This window comes from Homo sapiens, chromosome 4 (assembly GCF_000001405.40).
Source record: "Homo sapiens chromosome 4, GRCh38.p14 Primary Assembly".
In the NCBI taxonomy this organism is placed as follows: domain Eukaryota; kingdom Metazoa; phylum Chordata; class Mammalia; order Primates; family Hominidae; genus Homo; species Homo sapiens.
Genome location: NC_000004.12, coordinates 25601469 through 25628379, shown reverse-complemented (window position 1 = coordinate 25628379; position 26911 = coordinate 25601469). Strand labels below are relative to the sequence as shown.

Here is a 26911-nt window from a genome sequence, read left to right as displayed (position 1 = left end):
TGAGGTCAGGAGTTTGAGGTCAGCCTGGCCAATATGATGAAACCCCATCTCTACTAAAAATACAAAAATTAGCCAGGTGGGGTGGCAGGCACCTGTAATCCCAGCTACTTGGGAAGCTGAGGCAAGAGAATCGCTTGAACCCGGGGACACGGAGGTTGCAGTGAGCCGAGATCACGCCACTGCACTCCAGCCTGGGTGACAGAGCGAGACTCAGTCTCAGATAAATAAATACATGAAAATTAGCTGGGTGTAGTGGCATACAGTTGTAATCCCAGCTACTCAGGACACTGAGGCAGGAGAATCACTTGAACCCAGGAGGCGGAGGTTGCAGTGAGCCGAGATCTCACCATTATACTCCAGCCTGGGCGACAGAACGAGATTCTGTATCAAAAAGTAGAAATTTGGACACAAACACAGAGGACCCTGTGAAGTCACAGGATAGTCACCTAGAAGCCAAGGAGAGAGGCTTCAGAAGAAACCGTCCCTGCCAGCACCTTGATTTCAGACTTCTAGCCTGGAAATGAAAGAAAATACATTTCTGTTATTTAAGCCACATAGTATGTGGTACTATGTTTGGCAGCCCTAGCAAACTAATACACAGCTATAAATAAGACCAAGTCCGTGTCCTCCAGCACCTCTATTCATCATGCATTCATTTTGTGAGGTTGAGTGAATACTTTTTACATATCTATTGCTATCTTTCAAAGCTGTGTAATCACGTGAATTTCACCCAAAAAGCCTTCATCAAAAGAGTCTCTTGGAGGAGGTGGGGGGAGGGAGAGCATCAGGATAAAAAGCAAATGTGTGTGGGGTTTAATACCTAGGTGAGGGGTTGATAGGTACAGCAAACCATCTTGGTACACGTTCACCAATGTAACAAACCTGTACATCCTGAACATGTATATGTATCCTGGAACTTCAAATAAAATAAAATAAAATAAGAAAGAGTCTCTTAATTCTTTTTTGTTTTGTTTTGTTTTGTTTTTGAGACAGGGTCTCACTCTGTCACCCAGGCTGGAGTGCAGTGGCATGATCAACAGTTCACTCAGCCTCAACCTCCTAGGCTCAAGCGATCCTCCTGCCTTAGCCTCCCTAATAGCTGGGACTACAGGCTCACACATTATGCCAGTCTAATTTTTAAAAAATTATTTCTTTCCTTTTTTTTTTTTTGAACAGAGTCTCACTCTGTCACCCAGGCTGGAGTGCAGTGGCACAATCTTGGCTCACTGCAACCTCTGCCTCCCAGGTTCAAGTGATTTCCCTGCCTCAGCCTCCTGAGTAGCTGGGACTACAGGCGCGTGCTTGGCTAATTTTGTATTTTTTTAGTAGAGATGGGGTTTCACCATGTTGGTCAGGCTGGTCTTGAACTCCTGACCTCAAGTGATCCACCCACCTCAGCCTCCCAAAGCACGGGCATTGCAGGCGTGAGACACCGTGCCCGGACTGAAATATTTCTTGTAGAGATGGGGGTCTCCAGCTGGATGCAGTGGCGGACGCCTGTAATCCCAGCTACTTGAGAGGCTGAGGCAGGACAATCGCTTGAATCCGGGAGGCGGAGGTTGCAGTGAGTCGAGGTCGCACCGTTGCACTCTGCTTGGGCAACAAGGGCAAAACTCCGTCTCAAAAACAAACAAAAACACAAAAAAAAGAGAGATAGGAGTCTCACTATGTTACCCAGGCTGATCTTGAACTCCTGGACTCAAGCAATCCTTCCCCCTTGGTGACCCAAAATGCTGGGATTATAGGCATGAGCCGCCACACCCAGCCAAGTCTCTTAATTGTAAGTGGCATTTTATCATTGTGTATATTTGTACTAAAAAAAGTCTCAGTTGGATACTAGCTTGCCTTTAACACTTTTCTAATACTTGCTAAGTTCCCTTTTTAAGCAGTAGAAAGGAAGCCATAGGCTTAGAACCTTCCTTAAGAAGCAATACCTGCATAGAATTGAATAACATTGCTGTTTTATTTTTTCCATTATATGCACTTTCAGGGTTACTTCTATCTAAATACAAAGTGATAATAATATTCCATTTGTCACAGTAATAGCATGTTTTCATTTCAAATAATTTTTTAGGCAAAAAGCAAGTGATTAGGCTTTAAGAATGAATATTCAATAAATAATAGTAATGTGATTTGTGTGTACGGCAAAATCATGATGATGGTATGAAAATGATAGAAAATTGGAAAATACTGAATGAGGTGATTTCTGTGCTCCCCTACTAAACAATCAGAGAAATTGCTAGCTTTATCATTTTTATTCATGTATTCACTTATTCATTGCACTGACACCGATTAAGCCCACCCTAGCTTCCAGACATTACATTAAGCATTTTCCCACAAAATATCTATTTCAGTGCAAAAATAGATGAGAAATATACACAGAACCACCTTTGTCTTATCCATTGCTGTATCGCCAGCACCTAGCACGCTGTGAAGGCACTCAAAACTTTGCCTTTGCATTATAGGGGCATTTTTGAGTCAAGATTCAACCTTTTTTTTTTTTTTTTTTAAGATAGGGTCTTGCTTTGTTGCCTTGGCTGGAGTACAATGGCACAATCATAGCTCACCGCAGCCTCGACCTCCTGGCCTCATGAAATTCTCCCTCCTTAGCTCCCCACACCAACCCCCACCCTCCACCAAATACATGGGATTACAGGGGCATACCACCATGCCTGGCTAATTTTCTTTTTCTTTTCTTTTCTTTTTTTTTTTTTTTTTTGAGACAGGGTCTCACTCTGTCATCCAGCCTGGATTGCAGTTGTGTGATCACTGCTCACTGCAGCAGCCTTGAACTCCTGACCTCAAGCAATCTTCCCACGTTGGCCTCCCAAAGTGCTGGGATTACAGGCATGAGACACTGTGCTTGGCCCACTTAAGCAAATTATAAACCCCCTTAGGCTCCCAATCCCATCTCGCCTCTACTTTAAAGTCTAATGTGACCTTCTCAGTGGAGAGAGACCCATTCTTCCTCAGAAATCCTGCTCATTTAGAGTTTGTATACATAACATGGAGACTCAACAGAAAGAATGATACAATTGCCTCTTCTGTTATTGCCTCCAAATGGTTTTAGCTAATTTCCTTGTGTAGACTATGAGCTCCTTGGTGACATAGAATAGCTTCCATTTTATGCGCTCTTTCACAGGGCTCCAAAAAAGTCCCCCTTTTCTGGAGATAACCAAAATCAGTTTCTGTTGCTTGCAACGAGACTACTCCCTGACTTATCCAGCATGAACAACGGGTGGGAAAAAATTTTTTGAATTAAGTTAAATAAATGCTACTAAGGACAATTTAACAGTCACATAGGGTGCTTAAGAGATTCCCTTACATCTCAGGCAGGGCCTATTTACTTATATGTTAAATTCATTCCTCACAAGCTCAATTATGCAGTTTTTATCAAAGTTAAAAATGAATATTAGGAAAACAGCTGTGGCAGGTGCTTCTATGAGAGAAAGAGCTGATAGCCCAGCCAAAACGAAGAGAGAAAAGCCACACATGGCAGAGACAGCCAAAAATTCAACAATCACAGTGATTTGGGTAGAGGTTAAAAAAAAATTCATGAGCTCAATAGAACTGGATGATAGCCCAGTATAATAGGCAGTGTTCATGATGGTGCCCTGAGTCATTTGGAGTAGGTTTAATTTTCTGGTATCTTCTATCTGCAGATAGCATGGAACTGAATAATTCATTTTAGAAAATTTCTAACCCAAATATCTACTTAAGAAAAAAAAAGTGTGGGGCTCTGTAGAAGGTTCACACTTGAAGAAATTCATACAATCATGAATTTCTTCATTCAACAAATATTTATTGAGCACCTACCCTGGACCAGGCACTGTCTTAGGTCAAGGATAGATGGATGATCAGGACAGATGAAGTAGATGCAGTGGGACACACCTATAGTCCCAGCTACTTGGGAGACTGAGGCAGGAGGATTGTTTGAGCTTGAGAGTTTGAGACTAGCCTGGGCAACATAGTAAGACCCTGTCTCTAAAAAAAAGACAAATGAGATTACTGGAGTTTATTTTATTTTATTATTTATTTATTTATTTATTTGAGACAGAGTCTTGCTCTATCACCCAGGCTGGAGTATAATGGCGCGATCTCAGCTCACTGCAAACTCCGCCTCCTGGGTTCAAGCAATTCTCCCGCCTCAGCCTCCCGAGTAGCTGGGATTACAGGCACCCGCCATTATGCTCAGCTAATTTTTGTATTTTTGTAGAGATAGGGTTTCACCATGTTAGCCAGGCTGGTCTTGAACTCCTGACCTCAGGCAATCCACTTGCCTCAGTCCCAAAGTGCTGGGATTACAGGTGTGAGCCACCTTGCCCGACCTGGAGTTTATTTTACATGGGGAAAAGACCATAATCAAAGAAACCCTTAAATAAACAGGATTATTTTATTTTATTTATTTTTTGCAAGTTGTTTTATTTATAATACCACCTTTTAAAAGGTCACTAAAGTTAACTGGACAATAAACTAGGCAGACATTGCTTTACAAAAAAAAAAGAAGGAAAGCTCAAAATGTCACTTATAGAGAACCCACAGTTCAGTTTTATTCACAGCAAAGAGAAAAGAAACTTTTGATCATACTAGAGGAAACTCAGCCACAGGTTTGGAATATGTACTCAAACTACACATGCAGTGAGGATGATATTCTGCTGATACAATTGATATGCTGCTGCGCTTGTCTACTGTTTGTCTGATATTGACAATTATAAACAGGGCAGTGCAACCAGTATTTGAAACTATCCTTGCAGTGTGACAGTGTCAGGCACAATATTTCATGTCTCTTCACACCACTGGTTCTCTTTGGGTATCTGGGCTTCCTCCAGTAAAGTCAGTTTTGGTATCAACGGAAGCCTGTTTGTGCAAATCTCCTCAGGAGCCTTCCCCTTGATCAAATAGGCAACAGTCTTGCATGGAACATCAAGCAAACCTTTGATGTCTAAGTAGTTTGCAGCCAAAATGACTTCAAAAAGTGTTCCTGGGTCAATTTTCAGGAATTTTTGGTCCCAAGCAGGGATAGCATCTGTTCGCTTTTCTTCATTCTCATCAGCCTCTGGAGGAGGAGGAGGGTTATCCTTTTGGTTGGTGCACCACTGAATTATCTTTTTAAAAAAAATTATTATTATTTATTTATTTATTTTTGAGATGGAGTCTTGCTCTGTGACCCAGGCTGGAATGCAATGGCGCGATCTCAGCTCACTGCAACCTCCGGCTCCTGGGTTCAAGCAATCCTCCTGCCTCAGCCTCCCGAGTAGCTGGGACTACAGGCATGCTGCCACCATGCCTGGCTAATTTTTGTATTTTTAGTAGAGACGGGGTTTCACCATCTTGGCCACACTGGTCTCGAACTCCTGATCTCATGTGATCCGTCGGCCTCAGCCTCCCAAAGTGCTGGGATTACAGGCATGAGCCACCGTGCCTAGCCTGAATGACCTTTTTAATATTGCTGCATTAACATTTGGCAGAGGAACTGGGTCATTATCTCCATCATCCATTCCCAAATTTTCCAACATGATTTTGAGAGTCACAGATTGTTTGGCAATTTCCACATCAACTTCAAATAGCTCTCCATCAGAACTCAGCAACTTAATTGAAGGTATTATGGGTGTTGGGTCTTAAGGAGACAGCCAGCTAGAGGCTAAGGAGAGCTTGACGGCCCCAGTGGAGAAAGAGGAAAGGCAGAGGACGGGGCCTCTGCAGCGATGCAGCATCTGCTCAAACAGGATCATTTTAAATAGCAATGTGTTATACTATGTATGGAAATATATCAGTGTGATATAGTAAACAGTGCCTGGGTGGGGGGTAGATAAATTATATTGGGTGATCTGAGGAAGGACATTTAAAGTCATTCCTTTCTCCACTTTTTTCTTTTTTGAAAAAAAATTTAGGACTGGACGCTGTAGGAGGGGTGACCTGGGAGGAATGACCTTCCCAGCACTTTGGAATGCCTCCTAGCACTTTGGGAGGCCAAGATGGGCAGATTGCTTGAGCTCAGGCATTTGAGACCAGCCTGGGCAAAACAGTGAGACACCATCTCTACCAAAAATACAAGAAATTAGCCGGGCGTGGTGGCGCATGCCTGTAATTCCAGCTACTCGGGAGGTTGAGGTGGGAGAATCACTGGAACCAGGAAGGCAGAGGTTGCAGTGAGCGAAGACTGTGCCATTGCACTCCAGCACTCCAGCTGTGTCTTTTGAGACACAGCAAGACTCTGTCTCAAAAGACAAACAAACAAAAAAACTATTTTTAATTATTATGCATACATGAAGTTGTACATAGTTATGGGAACTTCCTGCATTTTTACCCTCCTAATCCCAGAGGTACCTGTTTTCAGCTGGAAGACTCTTTGCCTCAGAGAGCTATTGACAGCTTCCCTGAGCTGGAGAGAAGGAAACAAAATAACCACATCCTTTGGTCAAAGAGATATTTGAGTAAAGTTAAAAGTCCTGGCTTCTAGAAGGAAGTTTTTTTGCAGTACCTAGATCAACACATCCTGTAGCCAATCTGAAAGGCTGTCCAAACAGGACCCAGAACATAAGTCAGCAATGGGTTAAGGGCTGTCAGTGGAGAAGGCGGTTTTATTCCCCTGGTTTAGCCGTCAGGGGCTCGGCCCCCCACACGCAAGAGTTAATAACCAAACAATGACTGTCACTAATTCACGGAAGGTTTGAAGCTGTTTTAGCCCCGATGTGCTCTGTGCTCAGTCATCCAGAAGTCACCTAGGGTGGAGGCGTTTCATGGTCTGACACTTTGACACAAAGCCATGTGACAAGCAATCTCTCAATGATTCCTCCAAGGCCAGCAACTGTCCCACCCTGGCTGCCAAGTACAATCTATGACCCCCATGCATGCCCTCCAGCTGCCGACTCTCTCAGCAAAGTTACTTCTTTGTCCATCAGCATATCTGGCATTTTCCCCTAAAGGCTGGTTATAATACTTCCACCTGCTTCCAGCAAAAATACTCAAGCAGATTCCAATTTTGCTTCACATGCCGCAGGAATGTGAATAATCCCATTTAGGAAGATGCTTGATTAAGTTTTGAGAACCCGAATCAACTTGGTCATTCTTCAACCCCTAGAGCAGGGCTGTCAAGAGAAGAAACACTTCTACATCAACTATTGCCCAGAGAGGAGTCTTGTTAGGCTGGTTCCAAACAAAAGGAGTTCCTGTAAGAGGCAGTAATGCGATTTCCACATACGAAGTCCCTTAGACCGGTGCAGACTCTTTGGCCCCAGTGAACGTGTGCTCCAGGAGACAGCTGGCCTCTGACAAAAACCAATGTCCCCAACGCAGAGAGAAGAGAGAGCCTGTATCATCAGGACTATTATGTCATTCATCCTCCCAGCTGCCCAGCCTTATAGGTGGAAAGACTCAAAAACCAAATTTACTGAGCCATTACCTATATGAAAAGTGTGTTATCGACTGAGTGCAGTAGCTCACGCCTGTAATCCCAACACTTTGGGAGGCCAAGGCAGGAGGATCATTTGAGGCCAGGACTTCAAGACCAGTCTGGGCAACATAAGGAGACCCTGTTTCAATTTTTTAAAATTCTAAAGAAAAAGAAAAATATGTGATCACATCATTTAACAGGTTGGTAGCAAAGTCTCTCTCTGATCTCCCCCTGTGCCAACTGCTGTGGTAGCTCCCTCCTGCAGGAAGCTATAAAAGAAGAAGGCTGGGCCAGGCACGGTGGCTCAAGCCTGTAATCGTAGCACTTTGAGAGGCCGAGGTGGGTGGATCGCCTGAGGCCAGGAGTTTGAGACCAGTCTGGCCAACATGGTGAAATCTTGTCTCTACTAAAAATACAAAATTAGCCGGGAGTGGTGGTGCACACCTAGAATCCCAGCTACTCGGGAGGTTGAGGCAGGAGAATCGCCTGAACCTGGGAGGCAGAGGTTGCGGTGAGCTGAAATCGCGCCATTGCACTCCAGCCTGGGAGACACAGAGAGACTCCATCTCAAAAAAAAAAAAAAAAAGAAGGAAAGAAAGGAGAAGCCTGGCAGCTCTGAGAACAGGTACCTCAATCCTTGTAGTTCTCTGTGCCTGTCTCCCAAACCTGAGCTAAGACAAGCACATGGCTTCAAGGTGGCAGAGTCCTCATCACAGCCGGGAAGAGAAGAAAAGCCCTTGCTTTAAGACCTGTGCTGGGTACCTTGAAAACTGGTATGTTTCAACAGTCAAGAATTCCCTTGCTAAATACTTTTTTGTTGTTGTTTTTGAGACAGAGTCTTGCTCTGTCGCCCAGGCTGGTGTGCAGTGGCGCGATCTCGGCTCACTGCAACCTCCGCCTCCCGGGTTCCAGCAATTCTCCTGCCTCAGCCTCCTGAGTAGCTGGGATTGCGGGCGTGAGCCACTGCACTCGCGCCCCCCGCCCCCCTGCCCCGGCTTGCTAAATTCTATCAAAGGAATATTTCCCCCACAAGGGCACCCGGTATGATCTCGCATATATGAATACCTAAATAGTTTCCCTCCATTACCGCAGAGGTGGAACTAAGGGGCCTATAAAGTGTGAAATGAGAAATGGTTGCTGTGTCGTTTAATGCTAATTACCACTCAGGTGATGTGGCTAAGGCCTCCACATTCTTACAGCTCCTGAAATCAGAATCTGGTTAGCGGCTATTTTAAGACTGCATTATAAAACCTGCCCCCAAATGCTTTCTAAATAAGGAGACTGTTATGGGCTGCCACCCATCTTTCCCTTCTGTTAATCATTTCAAGGATTTATGTTGTATACACAGGGTGACTACTAACCAATTAAATCATTAAGGACATTTTTTAATTTGAATGATTTAGTTGAACTTTAGAAGAATCCTCCTTCCCCACCATCCCCCTACATCTTTTAATTTAAGTACCTGGATTCTTCTGTCACAGTCTATTAAAGGTATAAATAAATAAGTTACGAGTCTACTGATAAAAGCTAGGGAAATGGTTTTTATTTTTAAATAACATATTTGTGTTCGAATGATTGGCTTAATTACAGAACTAAAAACAATTGTGAACCCTAAATTTTCTCTTCCCAAGTTGTGCTGTTTTGATTGCTTCAGCGGTAGGATAACCAATCCATTCATTTTGTTCTATTTTCCAGGTTTCCAGCTCTGCCGTATTTATACTAAAAATCACTGGTGATTCTGCAAGACAAAAAAAAATTTAGTGACATGTAGTTCTCCCAATATCTTTATTGAGTTACAAAATTACTAATAACATTCATAGTCTTTCCCTCCAAGCTACCTTTCTTCTTGTGTCCATATATCTGCCCAAAGTCAGAAGCTAATTATTCTTAGAATATTGTTTCGACTTTGCAAAAATAAAAATTATTGTTTCAACTCTAATACCCACTCAACCTCCACCCAATCCAATCAATCAACAGCCCAAGTTGATCCTATCTCTGAATTAACTCCTTTTTTGTTTGTTTGTTTGTTTAATAGAGATGAGGTCTCGCTATGTTGCCCAGGCTGTTCACAAACTCCTAAGCCCAAGCAATCCTCCTGCCTCAGCCTCCCTAAGTGCTGGGATTATAGCACTTAGTGAGCCACTGTACCCAACCTGAATTAACTCTTTAACTCTTTTTTTGGGGGGGGTGGGACAGAGTCTCACTCCGTTGCCCAAGCTGAAGTGCAGTGACATATTCTCCACTCACTGCAACCTCAGCCTCCAGGGTTCAAGCGATTCTCCTTCCTCAGCCTCCTGAGTAGTTGGGACCACAGGCCTGTGCCACCAACGCCTGGCTATTTTTTGTATCTTTAATAGAGACAGGGTTTCACCGTGTTGGCCAGGCTGGTCTCGAACTCCTGACCTCAAGTGATCTGCCCTCCTTGGCCTCCCAACGTGCTGCTGGAACTACACGCGTGAGCCACTGCACCCAGCCCTGAATTAACTATTGAATCCGCAGCCCCTCCCCAGGCCTGGTACCACTGTTGTAGCTCAGGACCTGGCTGTGTCTCACTGGAATAGTGAGTGTAATAGCCCAGTGGGTTCACCTTGACCACTGCCTAGACAGAGCCAATTTATCAGGACAGGAAGAATTGCAATAGAGAAAACAGTAAAGAGTAATTCAAGCAGAGTTAGCTGTGCAGGAGACCAGAGTCTTATTATTACTCAAATCAGTCTCCCTGAGCATATGGGAATCAGAGTTGTTGGTTTTTTTGAGATAGAGTCTTGCTCTGTCACCCAGGCTAGAGTGCAGTGGCGCGATCTCTCCGCCTCCCAGGTTCATGCCATTCTCCTGCCTCAGCCTCCCGAGTAGCTAGGACTACAGGCGCCCGCCACTGCACCTGGCTAATTTTTTGTATTTTTAGTAGAGATGGGGTTTCACCGTGGTCTCGATCTCCTGACCTCGTAATCCACCTGCCTCAGGAATCAGAGTTTTGAAGGATAATTTGGTGAGTAGGGGGACAGCCAGTGAGTCAGGAGTGTTGATTGGTTGGGTCAGACATGAACTCACCTGGGTGAATTCCACAAGAACACAGATGGATGGGGGCCACAAGATCAGATGAGCCAATTTATGGATCTGGGTGGTGCCAGCTGATCCATCAAGTCCAGGCTCTGCAAAATATCTCAAGCGCTGACCTCAGGCTTTATAAAGTGATGCTATCTCCAGGAGCAATTTGGGGAGGGTCAGAATCTTGTAGCCTCCAGCTGCATGACTCCTAAACCATAATTTCTAATCTTTTGACTAATTCATTAGTCTACAAAGACACTCTAGTCCCCAGGCAAGAAAGGGGTTTGTTTTGGGAAAGGACTGTTATCATCTTTGTTCTAAACTATAAACTGTAAGCTAAGTGCCTCCCAAAATTGTACCTAGGAATGAACAAGGACAGCTTGGAGGTTTAGAAGCAAGATGGAAATGGTTAGGTCAGATCTCTTTCACTATCCCAGACATAATTTTGCAACAGCGATTTCATGAGCAGTCCCATAATTGTGCTCCCTAGTACCAGTCTGGCTGCCTCCACCCTGCTAGTGTGATGTTCTGGTCTTTTTTTTTTTTTTTTTGTCTGTTTTGAGACAGGTTCTCGCTCTGTTGCCCAGGCTGGAGTGCAGTGGTTGGATCTCGGCTCACTACAACCTCCGCCTCCCAAGTTCAAGCGATTCTCCTCAGCCTCCCAATAGCTGGGATTACAGGTGCGCACCACCACGCCCAGCTAATTTTTGTATTTTTAGTAGAGATGGGCTTTCACCATGTTGGTCAGGCTGGTCTCAAACTCCTGATCTCAGGTGATCCACCTGCCTCGGCCTCCCAAAGTGCCAGAATTATAGGCATAAGCCACTGTCCCCAGCCTGTTTTTTTGGGCTTTGACACAGGGTCTCACTCTGTCACTTAGGCTAGAGTGCAGTGGCACGATCACAGCTCACTGCAGCCTTGACCTCTTGGGCTCAAGCAATCATCCCACCCCTCAGCCTCCTAAGTAGCTGAGACTACAGGCATGCACCACCACACCCAGCTAATTTTTGTATATTTTGTAGAGGCAAGGTTTTGCCATGTTGCCCAGGCTGGTCTTCAGCTCCTGGCTTAAGTGGTCCACCCACCCTGGCCTCTCAAAATTCTAGGATTACAGGTGTGAGCCACCACTGCACCCAGCCACGTGATGTTCTAAACACAAATCAGAACCCTGGCTCCGCATCCACCATATACGAAGTCCATGGTCTTTAGAATGGCCCATTGAGGCCATTTCTTGCCTCCCCCAGGCCAACTTGGGGCCCCTCTCTCAGACCTTCACGTATGTCCCCTGCACTGGGGATTGCACAGCATTTTAATTCTTTGCTTGCAAAATTATCTCCCTCAAGGCCGGGCACAGTGGCTCATGTCTGTAATCCCAGCACTTTGGGAGGCCGAGGCAGGAAGATCACTTGAGGCCGGGAGTTCAAGACAAGCCTGGGCAACATGGTGAAACCCTGTGACTACTAAAAAAATATACAAAAATTAGCTGGGCATGGTGGCACATGTTTGTAATCCCAGCTACTTGGGAGGTTGAGGTGGGAGGATTGCTTGAACCCGGGAGGTTGCAGTGAGCTGAGATCACACCACTGCACTCCAGCCTGGGTGACAGAGGTAGACCTCATCTCAAAAAACAAACAAAAAAACAATCTGCCTCACTAGACTATGAGCATCCTAAAGGGGGGAACTATGTTTTTCCCGGTGCCCCACACTGAGAAAATGGTTTAAAAACAAACAAACAAACAAAAAATTGCTTGTAGATAAAAAGAAAAGGCCAGGTTTGGTGGCTCACTCCTGTAATCCCAGCACTTTGGGAGGCTGAGGCAGGTGGATCACCTGAGGTCAGGAGTTCAAGACCAGCCTGGCCAACATAAGGAGGCCCTGTCTCTAAAAAAGAAAGAAAAAAAAGAAAGAAAGAATAGAAGCTGGGCAATAGGAAGCCCATTGAGCTTCACATATTGTGATAGTCCACAAAAGTGACTTGTCAGCCTGCCCACCTAACTTCTCGGCATGAAAAAGGGGATTCCAGTAGAGTGGCCATTGCTGCATCCAATCTATTTGGGGAGAGTCCCCTAGCAGCAGGCCAGCTTCGAGTATGTGTGACCTGTACCATCACACAGCATCCCACACTTAAAAAGCCCTTACATTTAATTTAACGTTCTTCTGTTACTATCTTGAAATTATTTTTTCTTTTTCTTTTTCTTTTTTTTTTTTTTTTGAGATGGAGTCTCACTCCGTCGCCCAGGCTGGAGTGTGGTGCGATCTTGGCTCACTGCAACCTCCGCCTTCTGGGTTCAAGCGATTCTCCTGCCTCAGCCTCCTGAGTAGCTGGGACTACAGGTGCATGCCCCCACAACCGGCTAATTTTTTATTTTTAGTAGAGACGGGGTTTCACCATGTTGTCCAGGCTAGTCTCAAACTCCTGACCTGGGGTGATCCGCCTGCCTTGGCCTCCCAAAGTACTGGGATTACAGGCATGAGCCACCTCGCCCGGCCTCAACCACCATGCCCAGCTAAAATTCTTTGTTTTTTTTGTTTTTTTTTTTTGAGACGGAGTTTTGCTCTTGTTGCCCAGGATGGAGTGTAATGGTGCGATCTTCGCTCACCGCAACCTCCACCTCCTGGGTTCAAGCGATTCTCCTGCCTCAGCCTCCCAGGGAGCTGGGATTACAGGCATGCGCCACCACGCCCCGTTAATTTTTTTTTTTTTTTCAGTAGAGACGGGATTTCTCCATGTTGGTCAGGCTGGTCTCGAACTCCTGACCTCAGGTGATCCACCCACCTTGGCCTCCCAAAGTGCTAGGATTACAGGCATGAGCCACTGCGCCTGGCCCGAAATTCTTAATAAGTTATTAACAATGAGCTCACATTTTCTATCAGCACTGAGCTCTGCAAACTGTAACCGGTCTTGCCTAGTGGTTATGGAAATCATAAGCGCTGGGGGCTCAGATCCTCCTGCTTCCTACTCCCCCTCTCATCCTCTCATGCATATATTCACCAAGCAGTCATTATCTGCAGGCTGAGTGAATACTTCTAGTGTTTCTATCTACTGCTATTTTTCAGGGTTTATGTCATCACCTTTTTTTTTTTTTTTTTTGGAGACAGGGTCTTGCTCTGTCGCCCAGGCTGGAGTGCAGTGGTGTGATCTCGGCTCACTGCAGCCTCCGCCCCCCGGGTTCAAGCAATTCTCCTGCCTCAGCCTCCGGAGTAGCTGGGACTACAGACGCGTGCCACCACGCCCAGGTAATGTTTGTATTTTTAGTAGAAACGGGGTTTCACCAAGTTGGCCAGAATGGTCTCGATCTCTTGACCTTGTAATCTGCCCACTTCAGCCTCCCAAAGTGCTAGGATTACAGGCGTGAGCCATGGCGCCCAGCCCTATGTTATCACTAACACATTTATTTGAAAGAGTTTCTTAATTTTATGTGACATTTTATTGCTGAGTATATTTTCTACCCAAGAAAGTCCTGGTTAAGTACCAGCCTGTCTCTAACACTTTTCTAACACTTGCTAAGTTCCCTTTGTAACTTAGAGGAGGCTACAGGCTGAGAACCTTCCCCAGGCAGAAATATCTGATTAGAATTGAACAGCTCCTCGTGGTACTTTTCACCTCCTGGGAGCCAGGAGCCCAGGCACACCTAAGCACTGTCACTTAGATGCTACTACCCAGGAGATGAAGAGGTGATGAGAAGCTCTCCCGGGGAGATCATGGTTGCAGTATCCCTGCTGGCCGTCACCTGCAGGGCTCCTCTCCAAGGCTCCTTCTCAGCTCCTACCCATCTTCCCAACCTGCACCTTTGGGCACCCACTGATTGCCAGAGCCCCCATAGACTTCCAATAGATGCCATTTCCATTTGAGGAAGCATGAGTGGGTTGCTGCTGCTTGTCACATGGGAAAACTTTCTAAAAAGTGAAAAAAATCAAAACTGCTTTTGCTGCAGGTTCTCCTTCCTTTCACCTGTCACCACTTGTCTAGTGAGAGGTGAAGCCAGCTGGGCTTCTGGGTCGGGTGGGGACTTGGAGAACTTTTGTGTCTAGCTAAAGGATTGTAAACGCACCAATCAGCACTCTGTAAAATTGCACCAATCAGCACTCTGTGTCTAACTAAAGGAATGTAAACGCACCAGTCAGCGCTCTGTAAAATGGACCAGTCAGCAGGATGTGGGCGGGGCCAAATGAGGGAATAAAAGCTGGCCACCCGAGCCAGCACCGGCAATCCAGTGGGGTCCCTTCCACGCTGTGGAAGGTTTGTTCTTTCACTCTTCACAATAAATCTTGCTGCTGCTCAGTCTTTGGGTCTGCACCACCTTTATGAGCCGTAACACTCACTGCAAGGGTCTGCAGCTTCATTCCTGAAGTCAGCAAGACCACGAACCCAGCGCGAGGAACAAACAACTACGGACACACCACCTTTAAGAGCTGTAACACTCACTGCGAAGGTCTGCGGCTTCACTCCTGAAGTCAGCGAGACCACGAACCCACCAGAAGGAAGAAACTCTGTACACATCTGAACATCTGAAGGAACAAATTCCGGACACACCATCTTTAGGAGCTGTAACACTCACCGTGCAGGTCCGTGGCTTCATTCTTGAAGTCAGCAAGACCAAGAACTCACCGGAAGGAATAAATTCCGGACACAGTAGGTAGGAGTGCATGGTGCTAGATAACACAGCTTCCTGCCTCCAGGGGGCTCAGCCAAGCTCTGCCCTAGCCCCTGGCCACATGGAGCAGGCATTTGACTCAACGTTTGGCATTTGACTCAACGTTTGGCATTTGACTCAACGTTTGGCATTTGACTCAACAGGTAGTTGTTGTTAGTTCCCCACCCTCTGTCTCTACCTGATCCACCTGGGAGTAACACCTAAAGGTTACTTTGGCCTCACCAGGTGCATAGTCTGTCCCGAACCCTTTGTGTGTGTGTGTGTGTGTGTGTGTGTGTGTGTGTGTGTGTGTGTGTGTGTGTATATTCTTTTTTTTGAGACAGAGTCTGGCTCTGTTGCCCAGGCTTGAGTGCAGTGGCGCTATCTTGGCTCACTGCAACCTCCACCTCCCGGGTTCAAGCAATTCTCCTGCCTCAGCCTCCCAAGTAGCTGGGATTACAGGCACCCGCCACCATGCCCGGCTAATTTTTTGTGTTTTTAGAAGAGACAGGGTTTAAGCATGCTGGCCAGGCTGGTCTCGAACTCCTGACCTTGTTATCCACCCACCTCAGCCTCTAAAGTGCTGGGATTACAGGCGTGAGCCACTGTGCCTGGCTCAGAGCCAAGCTCTTTTACCACTAAACACTACTGCCTTCCCCTGGACCATCTAGCTAGCTGTGGTCCACTGTGACCTCAGATTTCTTTCTAGATCTAATGCATTCATACCAATTCTGTGCCTGCATCATACATGCATAAACATGCCATCTTATAATAGTGCCTACTGAATGGCATTATTTTTCACTAAGAGTGGCTCCAACTGCCCACCCCAATCTATTAAGAAGGCTGGTGGTGACAGTTCAGAGTAGGGGCAAAGGTGGAAGTTCAGGGCTGGAAGACTGGGTGTGTAGAAGCTAAAAGAGATGAACAATATGGCTTCTGTGAGAAGTACATACAGTGGATGGATCAACGTTTCCTGCCTTCTCCTAGGGTGGGTCTTTCTCCACGGCAGAGGCTGGAAAGTTAAGAAACACAATTCCCAGGCTCCAGGATTCCACATGCTGATGAGATTCCATCAACCAGCAGGAAGCAACGAGGATAAGACCACCCTTCTGCTGCTTCCACTGTTTCTTGTGGCAAGGGCCATTCCTGTGGAGTCTGGCTTTCCCACGGTGGCTTCCCAAGCCAGCCAGTAACATAAGAGTCAGTAATTTCCTTGCTGCCTGACCTTCCACTTCTTTTTTTTTCTTTTTCTTTTTTCTTTTCTTTCTTTTTTTTTTTTTTTTTTTTTTTTTGTGGTGGGGGCGGGATGGAGTCTCGCTCAGCCACCCAGGTTGGAGTGCAGTGGCGCAATCTCGGCTTACTGCAACCTCCGCCACCACCCCGCCCCCCCACCCCACCCCATTCAAACGATTCTCCTGCCTCAGCCTCCCGAGTAGCTGGGATTACAGGCTCACACTACCACACCCAGATAATTTTTGTATTTTTAGTGGAGACGGGATTTCACCATGTTGGCCTGGATGGTCTCCATCTCTTGACCTCGTGATCCACCCGCCTCGGCTTGGGTGGGATTACAGGCGTGAGCCGTAAGCCACTGTGCCTGGTCTTCTTTTTTTTCTTTTCTTTTCTTTTCTTTTCTTTTTTTTTTTTTTGAGACAGAGTCTCGCTCTGTCCCCCAGGCTGGAGTGCAGTGGCACTCTCTCGGCTCACTGCAACCTCCACTGCCCGGGTTCAAGCAATTCTCGTGCCGCAGCCTCCCAAGTACCTGGGACTATAGGTGTGTGCCACCACACCCGGCTAATTTTTTTGTATTTTTGGTAAAGACAGGGTTTCACCATGTTGGCCAGGCTGGTCTCTAACGCCTGACCTCAGGTGATCTGCCCACCTCGGCCTCCCAAAGTGATGGAATTATAGCCGTGAGCCACCATGTCTGGCATATCCTCCCCCTTCTAAAGCTCAGAGTGGTACTTTCAGCCTCCTGATTGATTCTGTAATCAATATTAATTCTCCTTCAGCCTAAACTAGCTAGCCAGCCAGAGTCGATTATGTCTGTCACTGACTCCTGACCAGTACAGCATTGAGATGAAAACTTGACCATAACTGGGGCGGGGAGGAGATTTCATTGCCAAATGCTTTATTTAAACAAAAAGCATAGAGAATAGCATGACAAACATCTTTTTATCCACCACCAAGTTTCAAAAATAAAACTGAGACTGGGCGAGGTGGCTCACACCTGTAATCCCAGCAATTTGGGAGGCCGAAGTGGGCGAATCACTTGAGGTCAGGAGTTCGCGACAGCCTGGCCAACATGGCAAAGACCCCAACTCTACTAAAAATACAAAAATTAGGCTGGCATGGTGGCACCACCTGTAATCCCAGCTACTTGAAAGGCTGAGGCACGAGAATTGTTTGAACCTGGGAGGCGGAGCTTGCAGTGAGCCGAGACTGGGCCACTGCACTCCAGCCTGCACTACAGAGTGAGACTCCGTCTCAAAAACAAACAAATAAATAAATAAATAACAAAAAATGACCAGGCACAATGGCTCATGCCTGTAACCCCAGCACTTTGGGAGGCCGAGGCGGGTGAATCACCTAAGGTCAGGAGTTCAAGACCATCCTGGCCAACGTGGTGAAATACTGTCTGTACTAAAAATACAAAAATTAGTCAGACATGGTGGTGGGTGCCTGTAATCCCAGCTACTGAGTAGACTGAGGCAGGAGACTCACTTGAACCCGGGAGGTGGAAGTTGCAGTGAGCCGAGATCTCACCACTGCACTCCAGTCTGGGTGATAGAGCCAGACTCCATCTCAAAAACAAGAAAAAAAAAAAAGAAGGAAATAAAATTGATGGCTCTGTTTCCTCTTTACCACTTAAAACCCCTACCTCTTATTTCAAAGACCTATCATCTTGAAGTGCCTCTGTATGTGTTTACATTTTTACCTCTTATGTAGCCCATATATCCCTGACTTTGTGTGCCTCCTTCTACAACTTCCTTTTTTTCCTCAACATTATGTTTTAGAGATTTACCAATACTGATATACAGTCATCCCAGTTTATTCTTCTTTTTTTTTTTTTTTTTAAGAGACAGAATCTTGCTCTGTCACACAGCTGGCATGCAGTGCAGTGGTATGATCATAGCTCATTGCAGCCTCAACCTCCTTGGGCTCAAGCGATTCTCCTGCATCAGTCTCCTGAGTAGCTGGGAGCACAGGCATGTGACACCACGCCTGGCTTATTTTTTTATTTATTATAAAACCAGGGTCCTAGCCAGGCACAGAGGCTCACGCCTATAATCCCAGCACTTTGGGAGGCTGAGGCGGATGGATCGCCTGAGGTCAGGAGTTCCAGACCAGCCTGGCCAACATAGTGAAACCCCGTATCTACTAAAAATACAAAAATTTACCTAGGCGTGGTGGTGAGCACCTGTAATCCCAGCTACTAGGGAGGCTGAGGCAGGAGAATTGCTTGAACCCGGGAGGCGGAGATTGCAGTGAGCCGAGATCACACCATTGCACTCCAGCCTGGGCAACAAGAGTGAAACTCCGTCTCAAAAAAAAAAAAAAAACCCCAAAAAACAGGGTCTTACTATGATGCCCAGGCTGGTCTTGAACTCCTAGGCTCAGGAGAAGCCTCAGCTTCCCAGAGTGCTAGGATTATAGGCGTGAGCTACCAAACCCAGCCCTCAGTTTATCGCCCAGGCTGGAAAGCAGTGACTCAATTACGACTGAATTGCAGCACCTTCCTGGGCTCAAGCCCACCTCCCGAATAGCTGGAACTACAGCCATGGCTGGCTAATTTTTATTTTATTTATTTATTTATTTATTTATTTATTTTGTAGAGGTGGAGTTCTGCCATTTTGCCCAGGTTAGTCTCAAACTCCTGGGCTCAAAGGATCTTCCTGCCTTGGCCTCCCAAAGTGCTGAGATTATAGGTGTGAGCCACCATGCTCAGCCAGTTTATTATTTTAAACAGTTGGATGGTATTCCATGCATGAACATATTATCTGCATGGTTATATCACAGTTTGTTCTGCTATTAATGAAGGACGTAGTTTAACTTTCTGAACTCTAACTGGGGATGGCATTTCAAATGTCTTCAGGACAGACAGATAAGAGAAATACATGAAATGCTTTGCAGAGTAACAATAATGGCCGGTGCCAATGGTGACCAAGGCATTCACTTTTCCGTCTTAAAACTGCACTGGCTGGGCACGCCTCATCCCTGGAGCATCAGTGTCCACTGTGGTGTCCCCAGTCTCTACGCTTACGGTTGAGGCTTCTTAAGACAAAGACCCATGACAAACGGTACCAGATCACTTTCAGGAAATGAAAATAAAGTGGGTGACTGGCTTCCCATCCCAACAGCTTGCACCTGAGTTCTGGGAAGATGGTGATGATTTCACTGACCAATCATGGAGCCGTTCTAACACCTTTGCCAGGAATTCTGGATGAAACCGGCAGCTCAGTGCAAACAATTCAGGAGTTTCTCAATAACCAGGGCTGGAGATTAGTTACTTTGTCACTCAAAGCTACTGAATCATGGAAATGGAGATGCATTTGCTATGGTTCAGTTCCAGTCGGCAGAACTTCCTTGGACACTGTGGGAAGAAGGATAAAAGAATGGCTTTGCAGACAAACATGCATAAATCCCAGTTCTGCCTCTTTCTTTGTTTTGTTTTTTGGATTCTTTTCTTTTCTTTTTTTTTTTTGAGACGGAGTGTTGTTGTGTTGCCCGCGCTGGAGTGCAGTGGTGCGATCTCAGCTCACTGCAACCTCCACCTCCTGGGTTCAAGCAATTCTCCTGCCTCACCTTCCCGAACAGCTGGGATTACAGGCATGCACCACCACACCCGGCTAATATTTGTATTTTTAGGAGAGACGGGGTTTCACAGTGTTGGCCAGGCTGGTCTGGAACTCCTGAACTCAGGTGATCCACCCACCTCAGCCTCCCAGTGTATTGGGATTACAGGCGTGAGCCACTGCACCCGGCCCAGTTCTGCCTCTTTCTAAGTGAATGACCTGGTACCAGCAGTTTCCTCTCTCTGAGCTTTGGTTCCCTTATATCTAAATGGGAGATTAAAATAATAACTGGGCCGGGTACGCTGGCTCATGCCTGTAATCTCAGCACTTTGGGAGGCCAAGGTGGGTGGATCACCCGAGTTCAGGAGTTCCAGACCAGCCTGGCCAACATGGTAAAACTCTGTCTCTACTAAAAATAAAAATTAAAAAAAATTAGCCAGGCGTGGTGGTGGGTGTTTATAATCCCAGTCACTTGGGAGGCTGAGACAGGAGAATCACTTGAACCTGGGAGGCAGAGGTTGCAGTGAACCAAGATCATGCCATTGCACTCCATCCTGGGCAGTAAGAGGGAAACTCCATCTCAAAAAATAAATAAATAAATAAAATAATAAAATAATAACTGGACATGGCTGGTTTGATTTCCTTTTCTTTGGGTAACAGCACGCGGATTTGCTTCTGGGGAAACACCCCTCTGCCACTCGTAGTCCATACATTTTGGATGGTGGCACCACTGCCCTTAACTTCAGAGGTAATATAGGATGCTGACCGCCAGCAAGACTTACCACATCCCTGGCCAAATCACTGGTTCGCAGGCAGGCATTTCATGCAGTTAGAGCCAGTGCAATACAATGAAACTTTTATTGGAACATCAAGTGCTTTTCCTTGATGTACTTGAACTTGGGGAGGATGTGAGCCTACAGTTGCAGGAGTCACTAAAAGTGATTTTCTTTTTGTTCCTTTCTTGGAGACAGGGTCTCGCTCTGTCACCCAGGCTGGAGTGTGGTGCTGTGGTGTGTTCACAGCTCACCACAGGCTCCACTGCTCGACCTCCCTGGCTCAAGTGATCCTCCCACCTCTGCCTCCCAAGTAGCTGGACTACAGGCAAGCCACCATGCCCAGCCAATTTTTTTTTTTTTTTTTTTTGAGATAGTCTCACTCTGTCACCCAGGCTGGAGTGCAGCGGCACAATCTCTGCTCACTGCAACCTCCTCCTCCCAGGTTCAAGCGATCCTCCCACCTCAGTCTCCCAAGTAGCTGGGAATACAGGCATGCACCACCATGCCCAGATAATTCTTTGTATTTTTAGTAGAGATGGGGTTTCACCATATTGGCCTGGCTGGACTCAAACTCCTGACCTCAAGTGATCTTCCAGCCTTGGCCTCCCAAAGTGCTGGGATTATAGGTATAAGCCACTACCCCAGGTCATGGAGCCACCACAGTTTTGACCAAGAATGAAGGCAATACGGAAGACAACATTGCTGAGAGGGGGACAGAAACCAGGACCTAGTGTCATCATTTGAGTTTGCTGGAGCACAGAAACCAGTATATGGCACTTTGACATGGTAAACTGAAGAAGCCTCAAGGCCTCCCTGACCTTCCCCCTCCCCAGCCATCCCTCCCAAAGCACAGGATAACATTGAAGTTCCTTTATCTGACTGAAATCTAGACCTGCCAGAAAAACTACTGTGTTTTCTTTCCCCTCCCTGTTAGACCAAGAATGTAACCACACCTGAACAGACCTTTTCCCAAGATAATCTCCAAGTTTTTTTTCTTTTTTCTTTTTGAGATTCAGTCTCACTCTGACCCCTAGACTGGAGTGCAATGGTGCGATCTCAGCTCACTGCAACCTCCGCCTTCCAGGTTCAAGCAATTCTTGCTGCCTCAGCCTCCCCAGTAGCTGGGATTACAGGCTTGTGCCACCACGTCTGGCTAATTTTTGTATTTTTAGTAGAGACAGGGTTCTGCCGTGTTGGCCAGGCTGGTCTCAAACTCCTGACCTCAAGTGATCCACCCGCCTCAGCCTCCTAAAGTGCTAGGATTACAGGTGTGAGCCACCGTGCCTGGCTTGTCCAAGTTCTCTGTTCCCTGACCCACTCGTTCTTCCTAGTAATCCCCTCAATAGATTTCCTCTTTTCCCATCCTCCCATAGGCTATTTTACCAGGATGGTATATAAACTTCTGAACCACTGTGTGGTTGGGTAATCACTCTGCGATTCTCCCCGAATACATATTAAGATTTGTGGCCGGGAGCCGTGGCTCCCGCCTGTAATCCCAACACTTTGGGAGGCCGAGGCGGGCAGATCACTTGAGGCTAGGAGCTCGAGCCCAGCCTTGCCAACATGGTGAAACCTCATCTCTACTAAAAATACAAAAATTAGCCGGGTGTGGTGGCATGCGCCTGTAATCTCAGCTAATTGGGGGCTAAGGCAGAAGAATCACTTGAACCCAGGAGGCAGAAGTTGCAGTGAGCCAAGATCGCACCACTGCACTCCAGCCTAGGTGACAGAGTGGAAACTCTGGCTCAAAAAAAAATTAATTAATTAAAAAAAAAGATTTGTATCCCTTTTCTCCAATTAATCTGTCCTTTGTGAGTTCATTTTTTTTTTCTGCAAATCTTCAAAGGGTGAAGAGGAAATTTCCTTTGGTCCCTACAAGTTCCTGCTCAAGTTATTTTCTTTTTGTTTTTTATTTTTTATTTATTTATTTTTTTTTTTTGAGATGGAGTCTCGCTCTGTCGCCCAGGCTAGAGTGCAGTCGTGCGATCTTGGCTCACTGCAAGCTCCGCCTCCCAGGTTCACGCCATTGTCCTGCCTCAGCCTCCCGAGCAGAGCAGCTGGGACCACAGGCGCCCGCCACCACGCCCGGCTAATTTTTTGTATTTTTAGTAGAGATGGAGTTTCACTGTGTTAGCCAGGATGGTCTTGATCTGACCTCGTGATCTGCCTGCTTCGGCCTCCCGAAGTGCTGGGATTACAGGCGTGAGCCACTGCGCCCGGCCCTGTGCTCAAGTTATACTGAAGGCTCAGATCAACTGTGGGACTTTTTAGCTCCTCATTAGTGTATTTATTTGTTTTGCTTAAGCCAGGTTGAGTTAGGTTGTCTGTCACTTGCAGGACAGTAAGTCTTGACCAACAGTCGGCCTTAGTGTGCAGCTGTGAGGATTAATTGAGATGACATGAATTATTCCTACTATGAGCAAGATTCCTTTCCTTGTTCAGATCCAGAACTATTTTCATCTAACTCCTTTTTAATTTCATGTAATCCTAAAATCATTCTGAATTTCTAAAAACATCTGGAAACGATGACATATCAGAAACATGAAAAAATTAGAGATGCTTAGCTTAAAAAAGATTGTTTGGCAATGTCATCACTTTCTTGAAATAGTGAAGAGCCTGTCATATGGACAAGAATCAGAGTTGGAGAGCAGAATTGGGCAACCAGGTGGAAGTCAGCAGAAGATGCTTTGCTTCAACGTGAGGAAGAACTTTTTTTTTTGAGATGGAGTCTCACTGTTGTCACCCAGGCAGGAGTGCAATGGTGTGATCTCGGCTCACTGCAACCTCTGCCTCCTGGGTTCAAGTGATTCTCCTGCCTCAGCCTCCCAAGTAGCTGGGATTACAGGCTTGTGCCACCACGCCTGGCTAATTTTTGTATTTTTAGTAGAGACGGGGTTTCACCATGTTGTCCAGGCTGGTCTCAAACACTCCTGACCTCAGGTGATCCACCCACCTCAGCCTTCCAAAGTGTTGAGATTACAGGCGTGAGCCACCGCACCCAGCCTGGAAGAACTTTTTGGTCAGGAAGCTCTGGACTGCTCCTCTGGGGCAGTGGATTTCCCATCGCAGGAGACCTTCAGGTGGAGAATGGACAATCACTTACTGTGATTTGTAGAGGGGATTTCAATTTCAAGGAGAGAGTTACAGGGATGGCATCCAAAGCCCTCTCAATTTTAGAATGCTATGATTCGAAATAAAGTGCCAAATATGAGGCCAGGCACAGGGGCTCACATCCATAATCCCAGCACTTTGGGAGGCTGAGGCGGGTGGACTGCTTGAGGCCAGGAGTTCAAGACCAGTCTGGGCAACATGGTGAAACCCCATCTCTACTAAAAATACGAAAATTAGCCAGGCATTGCGGCGCTCACTTGTAATCTCAGCTACCTGGGAGGCTGAGGCATGAGAATCACTTGAACCCAGGAGGCAGACGTTGCAGTGAGCCGAGATCATGCCATTGCGCTCCAGCGTGGGTGACAGAGTGAGACTCTGTCAAAAAAGACACAAAAAACAAACAAAATAAACTAAATACAATGACTACTTATGTTCCTAATATCTCCAATGTTTTTCTTCATGAAAAAGGTTTTCAGCCAGGTGTGGTGGCTCACACCTCCGACTTTTGGGAGGCTGAGGTGGAGGGATCACTTGAGCCTGGGAGTTCTGAGGCTGGGAGTTCAAGACCAGCCTGGGCAACATAGTGAGATCCCTATCTCTGAAAAAAAATGAAAAATTAGCTGTGCATGGTGGCATGTTTTTGGACTCCCAGCTACTCGGGAGGCTGAGGCAGGAAGACAGCTTGAACCCAGGTGGTTGAGGTTGCAGTGAGCTGTCATTTTGTACCACTGCACTCTAGCCTGAGGGACAGAGCTAGATCCTGTCTGAAAAGTAAAATTTAATTTAATTTACGAAAAAATTAAACCGTAATTCCAGCACTTTGGGAGGCCGAGGCAGGAGGCTCCCTTGAGGCCAGGATATTGAGACCAGCCTGGGCAACATAGCAAGATCCCATCTCTACAAATAAAAAATAAAAACCAGTAGTGGTGGCCTGCACCTGTAGTCACAGCCATGAGGGAGGCTGAGGTGGGAGGATCAGTTGAGCCCAGGAGTTCAAGACTGCAGTGAGCTGTGAGGAAAGCACTGCACTCCACCCTGGACAACAGAGTAAGACCCCATTTCTAAAATAATAATAAATAAGGCCAGGCGCGGTGGCTCATGCCTGTAATCCCAGCACTTTGGGAGGCCGAGGTGGGTGGGTCACGATGTCAGGAGTTCAAGAACAGCCTGGCCAAGATGGTGAAACCCTGTCTCCACTAAAAATACAAAAATTAGCCGGGCGTGGTGACGGGCACCTGTAATCCCAGCCACTCGGGAGGCTGAGGCAGAGAATCACTTGAACCTGGGAGGTGGAGGTTGCAGTGAGCCTAGATCATGCCATTGCCCTCCAGCCTTCGTGACAGAGTGAGACTCCATCTCCAATGTAAATAAACTAATTAATTAATTAATTAAAATAAATAAACTTTTAGGCATATAGATGAAATAGTCAAATGTCTATTCATACTTTTCTTTCTTTTTTTTTTTGAGACGGAGTCTCATTCTATTGCCTAGGCTGGAGGGCAGTGGCGCAATCTCGGCTCACAAGAACCTCCACCTCCACCTTCAAGTGATTCCCCTGCCTCAGCCTCCTGAGTAGCTGGGATTACAGGCACCCACCACCACGCCTGGCTAATTTTTGTATTTTTAGTAGAGACAGGGTTTCACCATGTTGGCCAGGCTGGTCTCAAACTCCTGACCTCAAATGATCCGCCTTCCTCAGCCTCCCAAAGTGCTGGAATTATAGGCGTGAGCCACCGCACCTGGCCCATACTTTTATTATATCAGTTATACAAATCTTTACATTTACTTGTTACATAAAATTATGAATAGGAATTTATAATTCTAAATTCTAAATAGGAATTTAGAAAATTTGCTTTTTCCAATTCTCTTTTTTTTGGAGTCAGGATTTCACTCCGGTTGCCCAGGCAGGAGTGCAGTGGCATGATCTCAGCTCCTGGGCACAAGCAACCTCTGTCTCTCGGGCACAAGCAATTCTCTTGCCTCAGCCTCCCAAGTAGCTGGGACTACAGGTGCATGCCACTGCATGTGGCTAAATTTGTATTTTTTGTAGAGACAGGGTTTTATCGTCTTCCCCAGGCTGATCTCAAACTCCGGAGCTCAAGTGATTCGCCCGTCTTCGTCTCCCAAAGTGCTGGGATTACAGGCATGAACCACCAAGCCTGACCCTCAATTCTCTCATTTAATGAAATAACATTATTCAAGCCTTTCACATGCACTTAGACATTATTTTTTTTTTTTGAGTGACTTTCGAACCATATGATGTTGGAATTCTCCAATTATGTTTAACTTTTAGAGCTGTGCCCTTATAACTATTAAAAAAAGTACTCTCGGATAGACATTCCAGCATAAAAAAATACCCTTTTTGAGGGAGTCTAAAACTTTCTAGGCTGTAACCTCTCTAGTTCCATTGTAAGTGATTTTTGATCAAGTGAGTTTTCTTGAAAACTGAACTACTTACTGCAATATGGCAGAACAAGCCATACTTAGTAGCTGGTAGAATGTCTTCTAAATAAGGCAAAATACCAAACTGCAAATATAGTCTGATCCAAAATACGATGAAAATTTAGATAACTAGATGCAAAAAAAGATGAAAAAAAAAAACAGAAGTTAAACAGTCATCACTAAATTGCGGTTACCATGCATGTCACTGTTGTTTTATTTTTCATACTTTTTTGTATTTCCAAGTTTTCTAGAATCAGCATGAGTAACTTTTATAATCAGAAAAAAAGAAACAAGTTACAAAAATAAATGCATGAGTGGTAGTTATAGAATCTAGACCACTATTCCAGCTTCTGAGAAGTTTACAATTTGCAGTTAGACCGAGGGTCACAAACTCAACCACTTCCATGTAACGTAAGTGACAGAAGTGGGCCAACTATGATATGATATAATATAATATAATATAATATAATATAATATAATATAATATAATATATAGTAAGTACAATGGGTACTGTGGCAAATTGAGGAAATTTGTCTAAACAGGGCAGCCAATTATTGCCATGTGAAAATGTGAGGCCAGTGTTATCAAATACTCTGATATTGGACATTTAGGTAAAATTCACTCTCCTTTTTTTTTTTTTTTGAGATGGAGTCTCGCTCTGTCACCCAGGCTGGAGTGCAATGGTGAGATCTCAGCACGCTGCAACCTCC

At 45.8% G+C, this 26911-nt stretch overlaps 1 long non-coding RNA gene and 1 pseudogene across 1 annotated transcript, besides 1 other annotated feature; both read right to left on the bottom strand.

The window, feature by feature from the left end:
* Positions 1–4584: 4584 nt before the first annotated feature.
* Positions 4585–5712, bottom strand: LOC100288962 (S-phase kinase associated protein 1 pseudogene; annotated as a pseudogene).
* Positions 8272–8773: an enhancer, noted in NCBI's record as "H3K4me1 hESC enhancer chr4:25621229-25621730 (GRCh37/hg19 assembly coordinates)". NCBI's record gives its function as "activates a minimal SCP1, AML or CMV promoter by ChIP-STARR-seq in primed H9 embryonic stem cells {active_cell/tissue: H9 hESC(primed)}" and the evidence as "EXISTENCE:reporter gene assay evidence [ECO:0000049][PMID:30033119]".
* LOC124900687 (uncharacterized) lies at positions 8915–10525 on the bottom strand. Its single transcript, XR_007058091.1, has 2 exons — positions 10445–10525; positions 8915–9131 (listed from the first exon to the last, which is right to left on the bottom strand). It is a non-coding gene; the product is annotated as an uncharacterized LOC124900687 (long non-coding RNA).
* Positions 10526–26911: the final 16386 nt, after the last annotated feature.